This window comes from Homo sapiens, chromosome 16 (assembly GCF_000001405.40).
Source record: "Homo sapiens chromosome 16, GRCh38.p14 Primary Assembly".
Taxonomy (NCBI): Eukaryota; Metazoa; Chordata; class Mammalia; order Primates; family Hominidae; genus Homo; species Homo sapiens.
The window spans coordinates 212,821-236,095 of NC_000016.10; the positions used below are offsets into that span (position 1 = coordinate 212,821).

Here is a 23,275-nt window from a genome sequence, read left to right on the forward strand (position 1 = left end):
AGGCTAGAATACAGTGGCACGATCACGGCTCACTTTAGCGTTGACCTCTCAGGTTCAAACCATCCTTCCACCTCAGCCTCCAAAGCAGGTAGGACTATAGGAACACGTCACTACACCCAGCTAACATTTCTGATTTTGTAGAGACTTTGCCCAGGCTGGTCTCGAATTCCTGGGCTCAAGCAATCTTCCGGCCTCTGCCTCCCACCAAAGTACTGGGATTACAGGCGTGAGCGCACACCTGGCCATCTGTAACTTTTTCAGAGCTTAATATGATTAATATTGCTGTTTGACAGTTTACAAGTTGAGAAACTTAGTTTATTTATAGACTGCCTTATAACAAATATAGCACACATCCTTTCCTAGGCAACTTCCAGATAAAACATATCAAGGCCTGGGTCTTTTGTGGTCAGGCTGAGGCTGACTCAGGCTGGAAGCAGCCAATGATGAGGACAGGGAGGGTATCTTCTCCCAGGTAAAACAACTGAGTACTGGGAGGATCCTGGGTAGAAATGTGCCAGGAGTTCCATCCATCAAGCTTAAGGTGATGGTCCAGGCAGAAAATAAAGGCCCACAATTTTTTTTTTGGAAGGGGACAGGGAGACACAGCGTCATCTTGTCACCCAGGCTGGAGTGTAGAGGCAACATCTGAGCTCACTGCAACCTCTGCCTCCCAGGCTCAAGCAATTCCCCTGCCTCAGCCTCCCAAGTACCTGGGATTGCAGGTGCACACCACAACACCTGGCTAATTTTATTTCTGTATTTTTATTAGAGACAGGTTATCACCATGTTGGTCAGACTGGTCTCGAACTCCTGACCTCATGCAATCCGTCTGCCTCGGCCTCCCAAAGTGCTGAGATTACAGGCGTGAGCCACCGCACCCGGCAGAAATCTTTTTTCTTTTTTTCTTTATTTGAGACCAAGTCTCGCACTGTTTCCTGGACTGGAGTGCAGTGGCGCAATCTCGGCTCACCGCAATCTCTGCCTCCCAGGTTCAAGCGATTTTCCTGCCTCACCCTCCAAAGTAGCTGGGATTACAGGTGCCCACCATCACACCTGGCTAATATTTTCTATTTTTAGTAGAGATGGGGTCTCACTATCTTGGCCAGGAAGGTCTCCATCTCCTGATCTTGTGATCTGCCCACCTCAGCCTCCCAAAGTGCTGGGATTACAGGAGTGAGCCACTGTGCCTGGCTTGAGTTGAAATCGTTACAGCTTTATATTTTGTGTCTTTGTTTTGTGTTCTCATGAGCAATTGTTTTTTTTTTGAAATGGAGTCTTGCTCTGTCGCCCAGGCTAGAGTGCAATGGCACGATCTCGGCTCACTGCAACCTCTGCCTCCTGGGTTCAAGCTATTCTCCTGCCTCAGCTTCCTGAGTAGCTGGGATTACAGGTGCGCACCACCACACCCAGCTAATTTTTATATTTTTAGTAGAGACAGTGTTTCACCATGTTGGTCAGGCTGGTATCCTGACCTCATGATCCACCCACCTCAGCCTCCCAAAGTGCTGGGATTACAGGTGTGAGCCACTGAGCCCTGCCTATCATAAGCAATTTGAAATCATTAGACAGGTTTCACAAACATTAGTTTGAAGGGCAGAGTCTATCATATAGGTTCATTATAATTTATTCACTCATTTCTCTTCTTGGGCATTTTTCTTGATCCAAATTTCAATCTCATAAACAATTTTGTCATAAGTATCATTTATCCATTCATTCATTTATCTGAGACAGACTCTTGTTCTGTTCTCCAGGCTGGAGCACAGTGGTGCAAGCACAGCTCACTTCAGCCTTGATCCTCCGGGCTCAACTGATCCTCCAGCCTCAGCCCCTCGAGTAGCTGGGACTATAGTTGCAGGCCACCTTGTCTGGCTAATTTTTTTGGTATTTTGTGTACAGACAGGGTTTGTCATCTTGCCCAGGCTAGTCTCCAACTGGGCTCATGCGACCCACCCACCCTAGTCTCCCAAAGCTCTTGGATTACAGGCATGGACCACTACACCTGGCCCACAAACATCTTTACTATAACCATGTTTCCATGTATTTCCAATTACTTTCTTAGGATAGAGATTTCTAGAAATAAGTCACAAGGCAGAGATACTTTTAGGCCAGGCATGGTGGCTTGTGACTGTAATCCCAGAACTTCGAAGACTGAAGTAGGAGAATAGCTTGAGGCCAGGAGTTGGAGGCTACCGTGAGCTATGAGCACGCCACTGCAATCCAGCCTGGGCAGAACAAGATCCTATCTCAATAGTTGTATTACATCTTTTTTTTCCTCTTAAAATAAGTTACGATAAACATCTTTTCTCTGCATTCATTTTCACATATCCTTAAGACACATTCCCAACAGTGGAATTCTGGAAAAAAATGTTTAAAACACCAACAGTAGGCCAGGTGCAATGGATCACGCCTGTAATCCCAGCACTTTGGGAGAGTGAGGCGGGCAGATCACAAGGTCAGGAGCTTGAGACCATCCTCGCTAACATGGTGAAACCCTGCCTACTGAAAATACAAAAAATTGGGCCGGGCGCGGTGGCTCACACCTGTAATCCCAGCACTTTGGGAGGCCGAGGCGAATGGATCACAAGGTCAGGAGTTTGAGACCAGCCTGACCAGTATTGTAAAACCCCGTCTCTACTAAAAATACAAAAAATTAGCCAGGCATGGTGGCGCGTGCCTGCAATCCCAGCTACTTGGGAGGCTGAGGTAGGAGAGTTGCTTGAACCCGGCAGGCGGAGGTTGCAGTGAGCCGAGATCATCGCGCCATTGCACTCCAGCCTGGGCGACAAAAGCAAAACTCCGTCTCAAAAAAAAAAAAAAAAGAAAATACAGAAAATTGGCCAGGTGTGGTGACATGCACCTGTAGTCCCAGCTACTCAGGAGGCTGCGGTGGGAAAATTGCTTGAACCGGGAAGGCAGAGATGGCAGTGAGCCGAGATCATGCCACTGTACTCCAGCCTGGACGAGAGTGAGACACTGTCTCAAAAAAAAAAAAAACATCGACAGTGTCTTGACAGATCACTCTCCCACAACACTGCTGCTCCACCACACCCAGCTAATTTTCTATTTTTTTTCTAGAAACATGTTCTTCAGGCAAAAACTCCTGGGCTCAAGTGATCCTTCACTTTTGGCCTCCAAAAGTGACAGGATTACAAGCAGAAGCCCCCTTGCCTGCCCAGCCCGGTTTACTGTTTTTTTTTTGAGATGGGATTTCGCTCTTGTTGCCCAGGCTACAGTGCAATGGCACGATCTTGGCTCACTGCAACCTCTGCCTCCCAGGTTCAAGTGATTCTCCTGCCTCAGCCTCCCGAGTAGCTGGGATTATAGGTGCCCAGCACCACGCCCGGCTAATTTTCAATTTTTAATAGAGATGGGGGTTTCTCCATGATGGTCAGGCTGGTCTCGAACTCCCGACCTCAGGTGATCTGCCCGCCTCAGCCTCCCAAAGTGCTTGGGTAAGAGGTGTGAGCCACAGGGCCCGGCCCTTGTTTACTCTAATTCTTTGAGTGAGGAGGACCTTTTTCTTTTCCACATGCTTATAAACACTGGTTATCAAATAGTTGTTTTTTTTTTTTTTTTTTTTGAGACGGAGTCTCGCTCGGTTGTCCAGGCTGGAGTGCAGTGGCACAATGTCGGCTCATTGAAACCTCCGCCTCCTGGGTTCCAGTGATTCTCCTGCCTCAGCCTCCCAAGTAGCTGGGACTACAGGTGCCCACCACCATGACCGGCTGATTTTTGTATTTTCGGTAGACACGGTGTTGTACTATTTGGCCAGGCTGGTGTTGAACTCCTGAACTCGTGATCTGCCCGCCTCGGCCTCCCGAAGTGCTGAGATTACAGGCATAAGCCACCTCGCCTGACCTAATTATTTTAATATGAGCCCCCTGTAAGGTCAAAAATGACTTTTAGGGAGTGGGAGATGCGGGTAGTTTTCAGGGAGTAACTCTTGTATATTGTACATTTTCACATAGGACAAAAAGGTCTCTGACCTGTTCTAGCTCTCTAACCCATTCTCTCAAGGCACATGCCACCACGCCTGGCTAACTCTGGCATTTTTTTGTAGAGACGGGGTTTCCCCATGTTGCCCAGGCTGGTCTTGAACTCCCGGGCTCAAGCAATCCTCCTGCCTCAGCCTCCCAAAGTGTTGAGATTACAGGCGTGAGCCACCACATGCCTGGCCAAGGCCACTATTTTAAATAGAATTTTTTTTTTTGAGACAGAGTTTCGCTCTGTCACCCAAGTAGAATAAAGTGCAATGGTGTGATCTCAGCACACTGCAACCTTCACCAACTGGGTTCAAGCCATTCTCCTGCCTCAGTCTCCCGAGTAGTTGGGATTAGAGGACAGCACCACCATGCCCAGCTAATTTTTGTATTTTTAGAAGAGGCAGCGTTTCACCATGTTGGCCAGGCTAGTCTTCAACTCCCGACCTCAGGTGATCCACCCACCTCAGCCTCCCAAATTGCTGGAATTACAGCTGTAAGCCACTGCACACGGTCCAGGAATTTATTCTTTATTGAGAATTGCATTCCTGTGTCAAATGAAACATCTCAGGTACCCCCCAAATATATACACCTATTATGTAGCCACAACAAATTTTTTAAATAGGCTGGGCGCAGTGGCTCACGCCTGTAATCTCAACACTCTGGGAGGCTAAGGCGGGTGGATCACCTGCGGTCAGGAGTTTAAGACCAGCCTGGCCAACATGACAAAACCCCGTCTCTACTAAAAATACAAAAATCAGCCAGGCGTAGCGATGTGCACCTGTAATCCCAGCTACTCAGGAGGCTGAGGCAGGAAAATCGCTTGAAACCAGGAGGCAGAGGTTGCAGTGGGCCGAGATCACACCACTGCACTACAGCCTGGGCAACAAGAGTGAGACTCTGTTTCAAAAAAAAAAAAAATTTTTTTTTTAAATAAATAAACAGAATTTACTTGAGGCCAGGTGCAGTGGCTCACGCCTATAATCACAACACTTTGGGAGGCCAAGGCAGGTGGATCACCTGAGGTCAGGAGTTTGAGACCAGCCTGACCAAAATGGTGAAACCTCATCTCTACTAAAAATATAAAAATTAGCTGGGCGTGGTGGCGGGTGCCTGTAATCACAGCTACTTGGGAGGCTGAGGCATGAGAAGAGAAGGAGGTTGCAGTGAGCCGAGATCATGCCACTGTACTACAGCCTGGGCGACAAGAGCAAAACTATATCTCCAAAAAAAAAAAAAAAAATTAGCCAGGCATGGTGGCAGGCACCTGTAATCCCAGCTACTCAGGAGGCTGAGGTAGGAGAATCGCTTGAACCCAGGAGGTGGAGGTTACAGTGAGCTAAGATCATGCCACGGCACTCCAGCCGAGGCAACAACAGTGACACTCCGTCTCAAAAAAAAAAAAGGAAGAATTTACTGTAAAACGTATTGACATCTTGTAATGCAAGCGGAGGGACCCTTTCCCTTGGGTTTTATATTTTTCACTGGCTCCCTCATCCCATGCTCAGTGCCTTCCCGGTCTTCACTCAAGAACCAGAATGGCATCAAACCCCTCTACTAACCTCTGGTCATACTAGCGATGGGTGATTAGGGATTAAAAAACAATTAAAATTGAGTGAGTTTAAATCATGTATTCTTACCAGGCACAGTGTAATCACACCTGTAAACCCAGCACTTTGGGAGAGTGAGGTGGGTGGATCACCTGAGGTCAAGAGTTCAAGATGAGCCTGGCCAACATGGCGAAACCACATCTCTACTAAAAATACAAAAATCAGCTGGGTGTGGTGGCGGGCACTTCTAATCTCAGCTACTTGGGAGGCTGAGGCAGGAGAATTGCTTAAACCCAGGAGGCGGAGGTTGCAATGAGCCAAGATTGCGCCACTGCATTCCAGCTTGGGCAACAGAGGGAGACTCTGTCTCAAAAAAACAGAAAAAAGAATCTTAAAAGGCTCCACTGGGGGCAACAACGAAAAAAAGCTGAAAAATGCTACTCTAAATGAATTTACTGGCCAGGCATAGTGGCTCACACCTGAAATCCCAATACCAGTGAGAGGCCAAGGTGGCAGGATCACTTGAGGGCAGAAGTTTGAGACCAGCCTGGGCAACATAGTAAAACCCTGTCTCAAAAAAAAAAAAAAAAAAAAAAAAAAAGGCCGGGTGTGGTGGCACACACCTATACCCGCAGCTACTCAGGAATCCGAGGCAGGGCTATCACTGAGCCGAAGAGGTCAAGGTTACAGCAAGCCATCATCACGCCACTGCCCTCCAGCCTGGGTGACAGAACAAGAACCTGTCTCAAAAATAAATAGGACAGGCGCGGTGGCTCACAGCTGTAATCCCAGCACTTTGGGAGGCCGAGGCAGGCGGATCACAAGGTCAGGAGATCGAGACCAGCCTGGCCAACATGGTAAAACCCCATCTCTACCAAAAATACAAAAATGAGCTGGGCATGGTGGCGCATGCCTGTCATCCCAGCTACTTGGGAGGCTAAGGCAGGAGAATCACTTGAACCAGGGAGTCGGAGGTTGCAATGAGCCAAGATGGTGCCACTGCACTCTAGCCTGGTGACAGAGCAAGACTCTGTCTCAAAATAAATAAATAAATAAAAATTAAAATAAATTAAATAAATAATTAGCCAGACATGGTCGTGTGCATCTGTAGTACTAGCTATTTAGGAGACTGTGGAAGAAGGATCACCTGAGCCCAGCAATTCACTTACAGTCAGCTATAATCATGCTGCTGCACTCCAGCCTGGGCAACAGAGTGAAACTCTGTATCAAAAAGAAAAAGAAGCTAGGCACGGTGGCTCAACCTGTAATCCCAGCACTTTGGGAGGCTGAGGCGGGCGGATCACCTGACGTTGAGAGTTCGAGACCAGCCTGATCAACATGGAGAAACACCATCTCTACTAAAAATACAAAATCAGCCGGGCATGGCGGCTCATGCCTGTATTCCCAGCTCCTCAGGAGGCTGAGGCAGAATTGCTTGAACCTGGGAGGAGTAGGTTGCAGTGAGCCAAGATCGCACTACTGCTCTCCAGCCTGAGCAACAAGAGTGAAACTCCGTCTCAAAAAAAAAAAAAGAATTTACTAATGTAGATAAAATAACACAACTACTGAGTACTAAAAAAATGCAAATTGAGATCAGAAAGAAATGCCATTTTACAACCACTAAACTGCAAAAATTAAACAGTCTGATAATACAAAGTGTTGGTGAGCGTGCAGACACTGCTATGGGACTTTACCAAATAGAAACAAGAAGACAACATTACAAAATTGTCTTGCGAGGATAAATACGGGTATCTCCTATAAACCAGCAATCCCTCTCCTAGGAATATACCCAAAATAAATCCTTATCCACGTGACAAGGAAGTTATGCAAAAATATTCATATTGTCTGCAGTAGCAAAACTAGAATCAATCTAAATGTCTATGAATAAAGCAAAGATCGTTTGAGAATTATTCAAGCAGCAATGAAAACTATATGCAACAACCTGGGCAAACAGAAACATGATACTGAACCAAAAAAATCTAATTTTAAAGACTCTACACTATGAAACCATTCAAAACTAAGCAAAAATAAACACTGTTCAAGGACTCATAAAAATGTAATTAAAATTTTTAAAAGCAACAAAATGAGATAACACATATTATCATTTAGGACACTGACAGGACGCTGGACACAACATATAAACAGTACTGGCTGTATTCTAGCTCTGAGCTTGAGTGGCAGGATAACAAGCAACTACCTTATTATTTTGCTTCATAACTTACGTATGTTACATTTTTCTTGTTAGTTCAATATTGGGTTCTTCGCAGTAGGAATAAATCAACATTAAATAAAACTTACATCTAATTCAAAAAACAGGTCTCTTTCTTTACTTGCAATCTCATAATCTGCTCGGAGGGCCAAGTCGTGGATTTTGGTACATTCTCCTAAATCCATGCGCTGTGGGAAAGAAACAGAAAATGCAGACCTCAGTGCCTACCTACTGTAGAAAGCACACAACGCGACTTGGTGTTTCAACTGTCACCAACAGAAATGATCACTTTTGGAACACTGACACTGCAATAAGAAAATTAAGAAAGGAGATATGGCTGAGAAGCCTCATTTCACTTTTACCATCGTGACTACGTGATACTTGAAACTGATGCATTTAATAGTGTAAAGTTTCTATTTTAGACCCAGAGATAATTGGACTGTAATCATCACAACTACATTAATTGGCTTTTGCCAGTTTTTAAGGAGTCTCACCTGTCACCCAGGCTGGAGTACAGTGGCGCGACCTCAGCTTACTGTAACCTCTGCCTCCGGGGTTCAGGCAATTCTCCTGCCTCATTCTCCCAAGTAGCTGGGATTACAGGCACGTGATACCACACCCAGCTAATTTTTTTTTTTTTTTTTTTTTTTTTTTTTTGTATTTTCAGTAGGGACAGGGTTTCGCCACGTTGGCCAGGCTGGTCTTGAACCTCTGACCTCAAGTGATACACCCACCTTGGCCTCCCAAAGAGCTGGCATTACAGGTGTGAGCCACGGTGCCTGGCCCAGTTTTATTTATGCATCAGTCCAAGGATTCAGTAAATGGCAGCATGTGGGGTGGCAGGGATAGGAAACGGCCAGGGCTGGGCGTGGTGGCTCACGCCTGTAATCCCAGCACTTTGGGAGGGTGAGGCAGGCGGATCACTTGAGGTCAGGAGTTCAAGGCCAGCCTGCCCAACATGATAAAACCCAGTCTCCACTAAAACTACAAAAATTAGCCAGGTGTGGTGGCAGGGCACCTGTAATCCCAGCTACCTGGGGAGCTGAGACACAAGAATCGCTTGAACCCAGGAGGTGGAGTTTGCAGTGAGCCAAGACTGTGCCACTGCACTCCAGCCTGGGTGATAAAGTGAGACTCTGTCTCAGAAAAGGGGAAAAAAAAAAGGAAAGGGCCAGAAAACAGTCTCACTGCAACAAATTTCTAGGCATTGTCTTGCAATCTTGACTACTTGAGATGCTCGATGCTTAAGATGCAGAGACAGAGGAAGAGGAAAGAGCGGACAGAAGTTAGATTTTGGCAATTACATCACAACCTAACACTTGGCTTTGTGTAGCTGATTGTGTATCAAAGGGAATAAAGGAGAACAGGCTGGTTCGTAGCCAAATACATGCTCTACACATTTTCTTAGCCTGGGAAATGACCCTGGACATCTAAGTGAGGACAGATAATTGTCCCACTCAGTTCCTCCATTTGACAAGCAAAACGTTCCATTACTAAAACAAAATGATTTATGTTGTCAGTAAGAACAGCATGATGTGCTATTATGTGTACCATATGCAGTACAATTAGAAAACAGTGTATGATTTTAATCTAAATCCTAAGTATAGGACTCTATGCAGACACCTTCTGCCTCTCGCCATCTACACAGCAACAGGGAGGTTTGTGTGCTGAGGATCATCGTGTCAAGTTATAGAGTGCATGTTAACAAAACCCAACATCCCAACTAGGAGACACCCCCAGTAGGACAAAAGAACATGTCTACATAACCAGAAAAAAAAAAAAAAAAAGACGTTAGTACCAGTTGCAGTGGCACATGTCTGTAATCCCAACACCTTTGGGAGGGCAAGATGGGAGGATCACTTGAGCCCAGGAGTTTGAGACCAGCCTGGGCAACATAGCAAGACCCTGTCTCTATGAAAAAATTAACAATTAGCTGGGTGTGGTGGTATGTGCCTGTAGTCCCAGCCACTTGGGAGGCTGAGGGGAAGAGATCGCTTGAGCCTAGGAGGTCAAGGCTTCAAGTGAGCTGTGACTGAGCCACTGCACTCCAGTCTGAGCAACAGAGACCCCTGTCTTTTTAATTTTTTTTTTTTTTTGAGATGGAGTTTCGCTCTTGTTGCCCAGACTGTAGTGCAATCTCGGCTCACCGCAACCTCCGCCTCCCAGGTTCAAGCGATTCTCCTGCCTCAGCCTCCCAAGGAGCTGGAATTACAGACATGTGCCACCACGCCCAGCTAATTTTGTATTTTCAGTAGAGATGGGGTTTCTCCATGTTGGTCAGGCTGGTCTCGAACTGCTGACCTCAGGTGATCCACCCACCTTGGCCTCTCAAAGTGCTGGGATTACGAGCGTGAGCCACCTCGCCCAGCTTTTTAAAGAGACCCCGTCTTTTAAAAAAAAAAAAAAAAAAAGAAAGGAAGGCTTTAAACCTTTAATCCATCTTGAGGGGGAAAAAAATAGAGAGGCTTGCATGTCTGACTCTTGGGATGCAGTCTCATAGAAAGCATGTAGCATGCTAGGCTGGGCACGGTGGCTCACTCCTGTAATCCCAGCACTTTGGGAGGCCGAGGCGGGCGGATCACGAGGTCAGGAGATCAAGACCATCCTGGCCAACACAGTGAAACCCCTTCTCTACTAAAAATACAAAAAAAATTAGCTGGGCGCCTGTAGTCCCAGCTACTCAGGAGGCTGAGGAAGGAGAATGGCATGAACCAGAGAGGCAGAGCTTGCAGTGAGTCAAGATCGCACCACTGCACTCCAGCCTGAGCGACAGAGCGAGACTCCGTCTCAAAAAAATAAAATAAAATAAAATAATAGATAAAAAAAGAAAGCACGTGGCATACTCACTAACAAAACATCCTTCAGTATCACCAATAATAAAGCTAACATGGAGGCGGCAGACAACGGGTCTGCCTTGTATGGTGATGTTTATTTTGACGAAAGATTGACTTTTCTCCTTTATCATTCTTACTCTGAAGTCAGATGGGACTCACGTTATGGTCGGTTACATAGAAGACTTAGAGATAGGACAATAGTGGTTCTAGAAGCCAAATTTGCACTTAAAATCACTGTCACTGAAAATCTGACAACTTTTACCTCATTCACTCTGTTTTTTCTTTTTTTTTTTTGAGGCGGAGTCTCACTCTGTCGCCCAGGCTGGAGTGCAGTGGCACGATCTCAGCTCACTGCAACCTCTGCCTCCCAGATTCAAGTAATCCTCCTGCCTCAGCCTCCCGAATAGCTGGGACTACAGGGGCACGCCACCACGCCCGGCTAATATTTTTGTATTTTTAGTAGAGACAGGTTTTCATCATGTTGGCCAGGCTGGTCTCAAACTCCTGACCTCAAGTGATCCACCCGCCTCCTCCTCCTCCTCCCGAAGTGCTGGGATTACAGGTATGAGCCACCGCACCTGGCCTCATTCACTCTTCTAAGTTGTGGGTGTTGTCCTTTAAAATATATAGTTTCCACAAACTAAGCATTGTAGCTGAAAAATGAATGGCAGCTATCAGAAAAAATGCTTTAAACTAATCAAGGCTTTGTTGTTCAAAGAAAAAGCTACTACCAAAGGAAGCAGACCCTAAAACCTGAAGTACAACAAAGTATGAAGTACAAATTGATTTCCATTATAAAAAACTCAACTGTCAAGAAAGATATGACATTAGAAAACCTCATGAGGCCGAGCGCGGTGGCTCATGCCTATAATCCCAGCACTTTGGGAGGCCGAGGAGGGCGGATCACCTTAGGTCAGAAGTTCGTGACCAGCCTGGCCAACGTGGTGAAACCCCGTCTCTACTAAAAATACAAAAATTAGCCGGGTGTGGTAGCGCACGTTTGTAATCCCAGCTACTCGGGAGGCTGAGGCAGGAGAATTGCTTGAGCCCGGGAGGCGGAGCTTGCAGTGAGCTGAGATGGAGCCATTACATTCCAGCCTGGGCAACAAGAGCGAAACTCAGTCTCAAAATAAAAAAAAAAGAAAACCTCATGAGGCCAGGCGCGGTGGCTCATGCCTGTAATCCCAGCACTTTGGGAGGCAGAGGTGGGTGGATCACCTGAAGTCAGGAGTTTGAGACCAGCCTGGCCAACATGATGAAACCCCATCTCTACTAAAAATACAAAAAAAATTAGCCAGGTGTGGTGGCGGGCGCCTATAATCCCAGCTACTCAGGAGGCTGAGGCAGGAGAGTTGCTTGAACCCAGGAGACAGAGGTTGCAGTGAGCAGAGATAGCACCATGCACTCCAGCCTAGGCAACAGAGTGAGACTCCGTCTGAAAAAAAAAAACCTCACATGAAGCAAAATTCAGCACTTACTTTTCAATGTGAGAGCTCCCAAAAGAGTCCCTGCTTAAGCACACTGAGGATAGGCTTGGGTTCTATGATTACCCTCTTTGGATGTAGCTTTTCAGCTTTGCCAAGGAGGCAGGGAAAAATACTACTGGCCATTCCCCTGGATGCCCAACATCAAGCAGAGCTGAAATATCACATTCATTAAGTCCTTCCACAATATTCCACATGGCTGCTAAATCCAGTGTGTCAGGCGTTTTTTACTCCACAACCTGTGTTCTCTTCTGTACCTTCTACTGGTCTAACACTACTGACCAGGAAGGGCACCAAAGTTTCCGGAACCTTCAGAAAACACAGTTCTGGCCGGGCGCAGTGTCTCATGCCTGTAATCTCAGCACTTTGGGAGGCCAAGGTGGGTGGATCACGAGGTCAGGAGCTCCAGACTAGCCTGGTCAACATGGTGAAACCCCGTCTCTACTGAAAATACAAAAGTTAGCCGGGCGAGGTGGTGCATGCCTGTAATCCCAGCTACTCGGGAGGCTGAGGCAAGAGAATGGCTTGAACCTGGGAGGCAGAGGTTGCGGTGAGCCACGATCACATCACTGCACTCCAGCCTGGGCAACAAGAGCGAAACTCCGTCTCTTTTTTTTTTTTTTTTTGAGACAGAGTTTTGCTCTTGTTGCCCAGGCTGGAGTGCAATGGCTCGATCTCGGCTCACCACAACCTCTGCCTCGCGGGTTCAAGTGACTCTCCTGCCTCAGTCTCCTGAGTAGCTGGGATTACAGGCATGCGCCACCACACCCAGCTAATTTTGTATTTTAATAGAGACAGGGTTTATCTATGTTGATCAGGCTGGTCGCCAACTCCCAACCTCAGGTGATCCACCCGCCTCGGCCTCCCAAAGTACTGGGATTACAGGCGTGAGCCACCGCACCCAGCCTGAAATTCTGTCTCAAAAAAAAAAAGAAAAGAAAAGAAAAGAAAAGAAATACTCTCACTCAGATTATTTTTCTCACCAGTATTCTGCAGCTATGCTACACAGGGTCTGGCCAAGGAAAACATGGTTGAAATCTTCCCGAGAGTGCACATCTATCTGCTCCCTCTGACTTCCTTCACTATGGGTTTATCAAGAATTCCAAGTTGTGCATCCTATGAAAATACCCTACAGTGAAACTTCCTTTGACGAGTTGAAATCATTAATCTGTATTGACCTCGGTACACACAACAATCTGCATCAAACAGTAACGTTTTCCCATCCCAGGCCAAACAGCAGACAACACCCCAAGGAACAGAGGCACAAGGTTTGGCATTCATTTCGCATTTGCTGTCAGAAAACTCAGCTTGAGAAGTTTTAATACATCTGAGCGGTTTTCCAGAAGGTGCTCCTCCCTAATATAAGCAATGATTCATCATGAAGAAAACTTCCTTTAACATATGCACATTTCATCCTTAAAATGAGAGGATAGTTTTTAACCTCCGTGAGGTAGCTGTGAAACCTTAAAATGGGGGTGGTCTCTACAGGACTCCTTTTCTCTCAGTGGCGTAATCACCACAGATAACCTTCCACTATTCAGTCTTTTCAAATTCTTACTTCGAATAAATGCACATTATACAAAGCTAGCGTTTATCTGTTTTGTTCATCTGAAGTGAACTTAAAATTGTAGGGTTCTATATTCATTAGATAGCATGTTGATTTCTTGAAGGGGTGGCACAACACAAAACTACAAAATCAATGTATCCTCAACTGATTTTTAAAAACCAAAAAATTGCGGGAAGAAAATGTACCTTGCTAGATCAAAAGTTTTCCACACAACCAACTTGAGGTCAAACAAACCCACGCAGAATCTTCAAAGAACTTCAGGCTGACCTAAAGCATATTTTTTGCTACAGCCAAATTAGAATACTTGCCCTATTTAGTTGTGAATATCTCAGTATAAATGACTTTACAAAAAATCTGGTAACTTTACAGACAGAATTTTACAACAGTGAAATTTGTTCCATAATATAAAATCCTACCAAATGAATAGAATCTATCATTTTAAGGGCATCAGGGATTTCTGCCTGTTGAAGAGTGGAGGATTGAGAAAGGAGCAGTGGCTCATGCCTGTAGTACCAGCTGCTCAAGAGGCTGAGGTGGTAGGATTGCTGGAGCCCAGGAGTTCAAGGCTGCAGTGAGCTGTGATCACACCACTGCACTTCAGCCTGGGCAACACAGAGTGACACTCCATCGCATGCATGCATGCAAACATACATACGAGTGGAGGAACACCTGCCATAATTAAGCCACTTAGAGAAAAAGAGACTTAAGTTAAAACAAAATTCAACATAGAAAAACCGTCACTGCCTATACAGCACTCATGTCAGAGTGTTCCATGAGGTCCCCCAAAATGCACCTACCGTCCCAGCCAGGATGTCATGGGGGCAGCAGTCCAGAAGGTGACTCTTGCAGACACGGTCATCTGTAAACTTGACCCTCTGTCTGGTTTCGTCTCCTGAAATTCATTTGTGGTTTTAAATAAGACAATATTATCACATTAACCACCAAAAAATAACTAGTATAACAATTCACCTGGATGATTTGCAGACTATCATTTCTGTGTTCTCCCCATCAAATGCAATGAAAAGCTGATCTAAAGATATTTACAACTGGAGTGGAATACACATTTTTTTGAGGCTAGTTATATCATGGAGAATCACACTTAATGAGATCTGACTCCATCACTGTACCAAAGAAGTCAAGGAGTCAGACGTAAACAGCTGAGCACCAAAAGGCCATTGGCTCCACATATACATGTGGCAATGAGACTGCAAAACCCAAGCTAATCAGAGGTCCATGAACCACCAAGGGTGACTTATAGAGCTGGTAATTTCCACCAACAAAAGCTACTTATTAATCTAATCTTTTTGTTATGAACAAATGCAGAGGCAGTATTTTGCCCAAAATTGAATGAAGAAGAAAGCTTTCAAACTCTATCGAAGACTGTTAAATAATCTAGATCTATTCTTCCTACGTCCCTTTCGTTCCCACCCTTAAAAAAGAGAGTTGCTACCTGGGAGTCACTTTTAACAAGACAATACCAAAAAAAGCAAAAAAGGAACTAGGTTAGTCAATACACACTGTGAGCTCCAACACATACTGTACCCATCTGCATTCTTCAAGACCTCAGCTGCAGAATTTTATGCCCGCTGTTGAAAAGTGTTAAAGGAAAAGTTTTCTTGCCCACACCTGCAGTAAGGAAGTCGGGGGAATGATACATAAAAGTAAAGGTAAAGTGGTATGTGACAAATTTTAAAGCTAGTCTGTGTATACAACACAGAGCTGTGCAACGCTAGAGGAGGAATATATTTTAGGATTTGCAAGCATCCAGGATTAATGTAGTGTCTTTTTATTGAAAATGTTTTCTTTCTAAACTACACTTTTAAAGTTACTTGTGAAAAAAAGCAAACACTTTTTTGTTATAACAGCTTAGAAATTGGTTGTGACTCACGGCTCGATGAACATGAGGCTTTCTGCAACTCCCTTGCAGATTGATGTAGGCAGGCAAAGATACACTGAACCTTTATAAATAAAATAGAGGGGCCACAATTGTTCAGTTTGTATGAAATAAAAATATGGGAAGCAATTCAAAAGCAACTCAATATACAAAGAAAGCTAAAAAGCACTTATTCACCTATGAAATAAAGTGCAAATAATCTGCACAGCCCTGAGAATGTGCCAGTGTGAACTTACAACTTCATTACTCAGCAGAAAAGAAAACACAAACCACAGCAGGTATATAGTTTTGCAAAGATGCAACCGCTTTCTCCTGTGACAACCATCATGATCTTGAGCTCCTCCCTACACAGTACAACCTACCTAACGACTGTCAAGCGCTGGCTACACAGAGGCTCTCCTGTGTGCTGGGGGGAAGGGGGCAGCTGGAAAAGTACTTGGCAGAAACCCACGTTAGAAAAGCTCAGTTTACGGTTCCCCTTGCAATGGTACAGAACCAGAGCGGGCCAGGTTTTCGAGGCCCATCCGGCTCCCTCGGGTGTAGCTTCTTCCCAAGGAGCCTCGGAAGAGTTCTGCCACCCGGCTGCCAGCGACCTGGAGCCCACGCTGATTCCAGCCCTCCGCCGACTCCACAGTTCGCGGAGGGGCACGGAGCCGCGGCGCCCGCCGGGGAGGAAGTAGCAGGACGGTACATAGGAAGGAGGCTGAAGCCCCATCCATGGCGCAGACTCCGAGAGAGGAGCCCGACCTGGACCCACGGCCGCCTCAGAGACGCACCGGCTTAGACAAAGGCCCGGCGCCTGCGGTCGGAGCGCGGGGGAGGAGGAGCGATGCCCCGCGCAGGCGCAGGCGCAGACGATCGCGGCCCCCGCCTCAGGCCGCCCGGCGGCCTCGCCTCACTCCCACCCCAGACCCTCGCCTGGTTGGCCGCTCTGACTCACCGTCCCGAGCCGTGCCCATGAGCTGGTCCAGCAGGGCCCGCATCTGCGCCTGGGCGGACATGGTAGCCGGCGGAGGCGACGGGGTCGGCCGCGACGACTTCTCTCAGGCAGGCGGTGGCAGCGGCGTCGACAAACGATGGTCGCGTCGGCCTCGAGCCCACTCGGCTCTTTCCCGCCGCGGGGGACGCCGGGAGGAAGTACGACGGCGCCGGCGCACGCCCTGCTGGGAAATGTAGTTTCTGGGGTGGGTGCTTAGGGAGGCTGAGGCTCTGAGTGGTCGCAAGTTGTCCAACGGCGGAACCAAAATCCCAACCCTGATTTTACTCTAGACCCCCAGGACCTCAAACGAGTCTCTACGGAGGGTAAACTACAATAAAATGAAATACAGTCAATCAAAAACAAGATGAATCCGTGCTTTTTCTAAGCTAGCCATGAAACCGTGAGCATATTATTTAGCTCCCCGACGCTCGTTTTTTTAAATCTGTGAAATGAGGGTTCTAAAGGTGCCCCTCATATGATTTTTGTGAAAGTTAAATAAAGCATGGAATTTTATTTATTTATTTATTTATTTATTTAGAGCGAGGGTCTTGCTCCGTCGCCCAGGCTGGAATGCAGTGGCGCGATTACCGCTCACTGCAGCCTCGACCTCCCCGGCTCCTTATCCTCCCGCCTCAGCCCGGCAAAGTATTGGGATTACTGGTGTGAACCACCACGTTTGGCCATCAGTCATGGCATTAATATTAGGTTCTATGATTACAACCTCGTGGTCGTCCTTTTGTGAGCTCATGGTCTACTGTCCCAGGGACTAAAGAAAAGGCATATGTAAGCAGTTATTTTATGTGATAATAGAATTATAGCATGCACTTATGTGTGCATAGTCTGGCATATACTTCTATTATATTAAACCTCTATTATTTATTTATTTATTTTTGAGACGGAGTTTCGCCCAGGCTAGAGTGCAATGGCGCGATCTTGGCTCTCCGCAACCTCCGCCTCCTGGGTTCAAGCGATTCTCCTGCCTCAACCTCCCAAAGTGCTGGGATTACAGGCATGAGCCACCACGCCCGGTCTTTATTTTTTATTTGTTTATTTTTTTTTTGAGACGGAGTCTTGCTCTGTCACCCAGGCTGGAATGCTGTGGCGCGATCTCGGCTCACTGTAAGCTCCGCCTCCCGGGTTGAAGCGATTCTCCTGCCTCAGTCTCCCCAGTAGCTGGAATTTCAGGCGCCCGCCACCCCCTCCGGCTAATTTTTGAATGTTAAGTAGAGACGGGGTTTCACCATGCTGGCCAGGCTGGTCTCAAAGTCTTGACCTCAAGTAGCCAGCCACCATGCCCAGCTGATTTTTGTATTTTCGGTAGACACGGTGTTGTACCGTATTGGCCAGGCTGGTCTTGAACTTCTGACCTTGTGATCTGCCTGCCTCGGCCTCCCAAAGTGCTGAGATTACAGGCGTGAGCCACCGCGCCCTGCCGTATTTTATTTATTTTTGAGACGGAGTCTCCCTCTGTCGCCCAGCCTGGAGTGCAGTGGCGCGATCTCGGCTTCCTGCATCCTCTGACTCCTGGGTTCAAGCGATTCTCTTGTCTCAGTCTCCCCAGTAGCTGGGATTACAGGCACCCGCCATCATTCCCGACTAACTTTTTTTTTGTACTTTTGCAGAGACGGGGTTCCGCCATGTTGGCCAGGCTGGTCTTAAACTCCTAACCTCAGGTGATCCGCCCACCTCAGCCTCCCAAAGTCCTCGGATTACAGCTGTGAGCCAGAACGCCAGGCCCCTGCTCTCTATTTAAAATAAATAAATAGGGTGTCCGTTGGGCTGCTCGGGTCGGATTCCGCGGTGCCAGCCCTTCCCCATGGCCGACCCTGAGAAGTTGCAGGTTTCTTCGCCGCCCCCGCCGCCTCCTTCTCCCTCCTCTTCAGACGCCTCTGCAGCATCTTACCCTGGCAGCCCAGTGAGTTTGGGCTGGCCAGTTCCGAGCAGGAGCAGCGGCCGAACGGTGGACCCGCTGGAGGAAGTGGGGCTGCAGATCGGAGACGCAGCCTTTTCATTAACCAAACTTCTTGAAGCCACATCTGCAGTATCAGCTCAAGTGGAAGAACTTGCCTTCAAATGTACAGAAAAGGCACGTTTCCTTAAAACGTGGCGGGACCTATGGAAAGAAGGCTATGATTCTTTGAAACCTGATGACTAATTTGGCATACTTCGTTGTTTAATAATGACTGCAATAATTCATACTTCTTCTTATGTCATATTTGTACGTGTACCACACGTATAGGATGACCTCTGTCCAGCAGTTCTGTATATACTCAGAATGAATTTTTTCTTGGTTTTCTTGGCTTTTCTGAAAGCAGAATACCGATGCTATTTTTGTTGCGGACCAGTACTTGTTTGTCCTTACATACTTCATGCCTCTGAACTTTCGTAGAATCCTTTATGAAAGTTAACTTCATCAATAGATGGTTAATATTAATAGAGCCACAGGGCTACCAGCAGCAAACTAGGTGGACCATTATTTGTTTTGAAACAAGATGCTAAGCATGGCAGAGTTTGAAGTTGCATTTCATCTTAAGGACCAAGGGAGGTAACTTTAAGGTTGCCAGTGGTGGATCCAGCTCCATTAGGCTACGTTGTCTACAGCTAATGATTGTGCTTCATTCTGTATCCCCAGCACCTAAAACAGGGTCACACAACACTCACTGTTGGTTGAATACAAGAATTAACAAACATAAAAATAAATAAATAAATATAGGCCGGGTGTGGTGGCATGTGCCTCTAGTCCCAGCCACTCGAAGCTGAGGTTGGAGGATGGATTGAGCCTGGGTGGTTGAGGTTGCAGTAAGCTGTGATCACACCACTGCATGGCAGCCTGGGCAAAAGAACGAGACCCTGTCTTGGCCAGGCACGGTGGCTCACACCTGTGATCCCAGCACTTTGGGAGGCCAAAAAAAAAAAAAAAGAATGAGACCCTGTCTCAAAAATGAAATTAAAACTTAAAAAACATGCCAGGCTGGGGGCAGTGGCTCATGCCTGTAATCCCAGCACTTTGGGAGGCCGAGGCAGGCGATCACCTGAGGTCAGGAGTTTGAGGCCAGACTGACCAACATGGAGAAACCCCATCTCTACTAAAAATACAAAATTAGCCAGGCGTGATGACGCATGCCTGTAATCCCAGCTACTCGAGAGGCTGAGGGAGGAGAATTGCTTGAACCTGGGAGGCAGAGGTTGCGGTGAGCCGAGAATGCATCATTGCACTCCAGCCTGGGCAACAAAAGCAAAACTCCCTCTCCCCCCGGCCAAAAAAAAGGCCGATCACAGTGGCTCACGCCTGTAATCCCAACACTTTGGGAGGCCGAGGTGGGTGGATCACAAGGTCAGGAGTTCAAGACCAGCCTGGCCAACATGGTGAAATCCTGTCTCTACTAAAAATACAAAAAAACTAGCCTGGTGTGGTGGCACACGCCTGTAGTTCCAGCTACTCAGGAGGCTGAGGCAGGAGAATCACTTGAACCCAGGAAGCGGAGGTTGCAGTGAGCCAAGATTGTGCCGCGGCACTCCAGCCTGGGCGATAAAGGGAGACTCCATCTCAAAAAAAAAACAGGCCGGGAGTGGTCTATTTTGACACTCCACCTCAAAAAAATTAATTAATTAAAAAATAAAATTTAAATTTTAAAAAATCATTTCACAAATGATAATTTAATATGATTGCTGCCCTGGAAGGGGGAAAAAAGACTTACTCTAAGAATACAACAAAGACTGTTCATGGGCTAGAAGCATCAAAAGTCCAGACACGGTTAGACAAGTTTTGTTTTCATTTATTTTGAGACAGAGTCTCACTCTGTCGCCCAGGCTGGAGTGCAGTGGCGCGATCTCAGCTCACTGCAAGCTCCGCCTCCGAGGTTCACACCATTCTCCTGCCTCAGCCTCCCAAGTAGCTGGGACTATAGGCGCCCGTCACCACGCCTGGCTAATTTTCTTGTATTTTTAATAGAGACGGGGTTTCACAGTGTTAGCCAGGATGGTCTAGATTTCCTGACCTTGAGATCCACCCACCTCGGCCTCCCAAAGTGCTGGGATTATAGGCATGAGCCACTGTGCCCGGCTGACAAGTTTTAAATAATGTTTTAAGGCATGACTTTGCTTCCAATTGGCCATTTGAACAAAGCAATTAAATCATCTGAATTACGCACCTACCAAACTGCCACAGTTACTAGAAATCAGACAACTGCCAGGCACAGTGGCCCATGCTTGAAATCCCAGCACTTTGGGAGGCCAAAGCAGGAGATCACTTGAGTCCAGGAGTTCAAGACCAGCCTGGTTAATATGGCAAAACCCCATGTCTACAAGAAAGGAAAAAAATTAGCTGGGCATGGTGGCTTACAGCTGTAGTCCTAGCTACTCCGGAGGCTGAGGTGAGAAGATCACTTGTGCCTGGGAAGCAGAGGTTGCAGTAAGCTGTGATCCCGCCACTGCACTTGAGCCTGAGGGACAGAGGGAGACCCCATCCTTTTTTTTTTTTTTTTGAGACGGAGTTTCACTCTAGTTGCCCAGGCTGGAGTGCAATGGCAAGATCTCAGTTCACCGCAAACTCTTGCCTCCCAGGTTGAAGCAACTCTCCTGCCTCAGCCTCCCGAGTAGCTATGATTACAAGCACGCGCCACCAAGTCCAGCTAATTTTGGATTTTTAGTAGAGACTGGGTTTATACATGTTGGTCAGGCTGGTCTTGAACTCCCGACCTCAGGTGATCCACCTGCCTCGGCCTCCCAAAGTGCTGGGATTACAGGCATGAGCCCCTAGCCTTTTTTTTTTTTTTTTTTTTTTTTTTTTTTGAGACACGGTCTGGCTCTGTCGCCCAGGCTGGAGTGCAGTGGCGCAGTCTAAGCTCACTGCAACCTCCGCCTCCTGGGTTCACGCCATTCTCCTGCCTCAGCCTCCTGAGTAGCTGGGACTACAGGCGCCCGCCACCACGCCTGGCTAATTTTTTGTATTTTTAGTAGAGACGGGGTTTCACAGTGTTAGCCAGGATGGTCTCGATCTCCTGACCTTGTAATCCGCCCGCCTCGGCCTCCCAAAGTGCTGGAATTACAGGCGTGAGCCACCGCCCCCGGCCCTGGCACCGTATTTCAAGGCCGAAAATTCGCATCCTCAGTGCCAGCAATTCTCCTCGTGGTCAAAGAGGAGAAACACTGGGGAGAGCACCCGGAAGCGGGGGCGAGGACGCAGATCGGGGGTCGACGTCAAGAAAGAAGGCGGGAAGAGGACAAGGTCGGGAGAGGAGGAGGAGGGGAGCGAGGACGCAGAGAAGGAGGGGAAAGAGGACGGAGAGGAGCGAGGACGGAGGGGGGACGGGAACGAAGAGGGGCGAGGACGTTCAGCATCCATTGCGACAGCGACAAACAGGACACCGCCAGGTTCCCGGCGGAGGCAGCGCCCAAGATCCCCGTTGCCGAGCAACCGAAGCATGGCGGTGGGGCGGGGTCGGAGCCTGCGCATTTCCGCCCCCGCCCGCCCGGCTGGTCGGAAGTGACGCCAGGGGGCGGGGCCAGCGGCGCGGTCGGGTGAGAGGCCGCGGCGGCAGGTGAGTGAGCGCGGCCTCGTACTCGCGCGTGCACGCCGCAGGGGCGCCGCAGGCCGCCCCTTCGCTCTGGGACCCCGGCCCCCAGGTTCCCCAGTCCCTCGGCCCCTGGAGGACCCCGCCGTGCTGCCCCCTAGCTCCTCCGCCTTCCCGAGTCGGGTGCGGGCCGGGAGGCTGCGGCGGGGCCCCAAGTCCCTCAGCGGGTCGGCAGCAGCGCCTCTGGAGGCTGATTCTTTCGGGTTTCCCCCATTGCCGCAGCCTGGGTTTCAGTGGCATTCAGAACAAGCCCACATGTTCCTCAAAGCGGGGTTTTACCTCCCGGTAGGGAGCTCCCCGCCGTGGCGCAGCGTAGGTGAGCCGGCCGTGGTCGCTTTCGCTCTTGGTGCCGCCTGGGTTGCCTGAGAGTGTTTTTTTATGGTGGAAGAATGTGGATGAGAAGCCTCACGGGGGTCGGAGAGGCGTGTCCTCTCTCGGGACGCTGTCTGCAAGCTTGTCCGTCCGGCACCCCGGGAAAGCTCCCCGAGCGCAGCCGAGGTTGCTCGTCTGTGGGAGGGACTCAGGCATAGAACACAAAACAGAGGCTAGATGGGAGGAAAACACTGGGATTAGCGTTCCTGGCTCTCCCCTACGTTCGTTGGCCGAGAGTTGTCAAGGAGAGAGTTTGCCCTTGGACAGACTGATAGGATATCAGGGTAGGCAATTTCACTTACTCTCTGGTTCTAAACCTTGTGATTCCAGCTGAGGAGGCTGTGACGCGCTCCCTTCCATGTACTGGCTGCCGGTGTCTTTACGGCGCCAGCATCAGATTACACTACTTCCCTTATTGCAATTTCAGTCTGCATCCAATTAGAGCAGAATAACTCAACAAATACTCTCCGAGTGTCTGCTGGGAACCAGGGATGGTTGTAGGAGCTAAGGATATAGTACTCCACGAAAGAACTTCCTGTCCTCAAGGAGCTTCTATTCTACTGGAGGGTACAGATAGTAAATTAGATAAATAAAAAATGGAGCTTGCTGGGCCGGCGCGGTGGCTCACGCCTGTCATCCCAGCACTTTGGGAGGCCGAGGCAGGCGGATCACCTGAGGTCAGGAGTTCGAGACCAGCATGGCCAACATGGTGAAATCCCGTCTCTACTAAAAATAAAAAAATTAGCTGCGTATGGTGGCAGGTGCCGGTAATCCCAGTTACTCGGGTTCAAGCGATTCTCCCCACTCAGCCTCCCAAGTAGCTGTGATTACAG

At 48.0% G+C, this 23,275-nt stretch overlaps 2 protein-coding genes and 1 pseudogene across 31 annotated transcripts in view, besides 7 other annotated features; 2 read left to right on the plus strand and 1 right to left on the minus strand.

The window, feature by feature from the left end:
• Positions 1 to 16,629, minus strand: part of LUC7L (LUC7 like) — a 40,460-nt gene extending 23,831 nt beyond the window's left edge. For 3 of the 8 annotated variants that reach the window (NM_201412.3, NM_001320226.2, NM_018032.5), the window contains exons 1-3: positions 16,459 to 16,629; positions 14,422 to 14,516; positions 7,829 to 7,927 (exon numbers count right to left, since the gene is read on the minus strand). In NM_201412.3, the coding sequence (NP_958815.1) occupies positions 7,829 to 7,927; positions 14,422 to 14,516; positions 16,459 to 16,519 (255 nt within the window). In that variant the 5' untranslated portion in view covers positions 16,520 to 16,629. Of the gene's footprint in view, positions 1 to 7,828; positions 7,928 to 14,421; positions 15,583 to 16,458 lie in introns of those variants that run through there. The other 5 variants (XM_005255427.4, XM_047434359.1, NM_001330420.2 and 2 more) reach the window with 4 other exon arrangements.
• Positions 16,243 to 16,472: a silencer, noted in NCBI's record as "silent region_6904". NCBI's record gives its function as "represses an Ori minimal core promoter by ATAC-STARR-seq in GM12878 lymphoblastoid cells {active_cell/tissue: GM12878}" and the evidence as "EXISTENCE:reporter gene assay evidence [ECO:0000049][PMID:35858748]".
• Positions 16,243 to 17,001: a biological region, named in NCBI's record as "NANOG-H3K27ac-H3K4me1 hESC enhancer GRCh37_chr16:279124-279820".
• Positions 16,305 to 17,001: an enhancer, noted in NCBI's record as "NANOG-H3K27ac-H3K4me1 hESC enhancer chr16:279124-279820 (GRCh37/hg19 assembly coordinates)". NCBI's record gives its function as "activates a minimal SCP1, AML or CMV promoter by ChIP-STARR-seq in naive and primed H9 embryonic stem cells {active_cell/tissue: H9 hESC(naive and primed)}" and the evidence as "EXISTENCE:reporter gene assay evidence [ECO:0000049][PMID:30033119]".
• On the plus strand, positions 18,264 to 19,190 carry C4orf46P1 (C4orf46 pseudogene 1; annotated as a pseudogene).
• Positions 21,418 to 21,961: an enhancer, noted in NCBI's record as "H3K27ac hESC enhancer chr16:284237-284780 (GRCh37/hg19 assembly coordinates)". NCBI's record gives its function as "activates a minimal SCP1, AML or CMV promoter by ChIP-STARR-seq in naive H9 embryonic stem cells {active_cell/tissue: H9 hESC(naive)}" and the evidence as "EXISTENCE:reporter gene assay evidence [ECO:0000049][PMID:30033119]".
• Positions 21,418 to 22,283: a biological region, named in NCBI's record as "H3K27ac hESC enhancer GRCh37_chr16:284237-284780".
• Positions 21,694 to 21,743: a silencer, noted in NCBI's record as "silent region_6905". NCBI's record gives its function as "represses an Ori minimal core promoter by ATAC-STARR-seq in GM12878 lymphoblastoid cells {active_cell/tissue: GM12878}" and the evidence as "EXISTENCE:reporter gene assay evidence [ECO:0000049][PMID:35858748]".
• Positions 21,824 to 22,283: a silencer, noted in NCBI's record as "silent region_6906". NCBI's record gives its function as "represses an Ori minimal core promoter by ATAC-STARR-seq in GM12878 lymphoblastoid cells {active_cell/tissue: GM12878}" and the evidence as "EXISTENCE:reporter gene assay evidence [ECO:0000049][PMID:35858748]".
• The window catches only part of FAM234A (family with sequence similarity 234 member A), a 35,143-nt gene continuing 33,868 nt past the window's right edge, over positions 22,001 to 23,275 (plus strand). For all 23 annotated transcript variants that reach the window (NR_104317.2, XM_047434744.1, XM_047434753.1 and 20 more), the window contains exon 1: positions 22,001 to 22,037. The gene's annotated coding sequence lies outside the window, so the exon portion shown is untranslated. The remainder of the gene's footprint in view (positions 22,038 to 23,275) is intronic.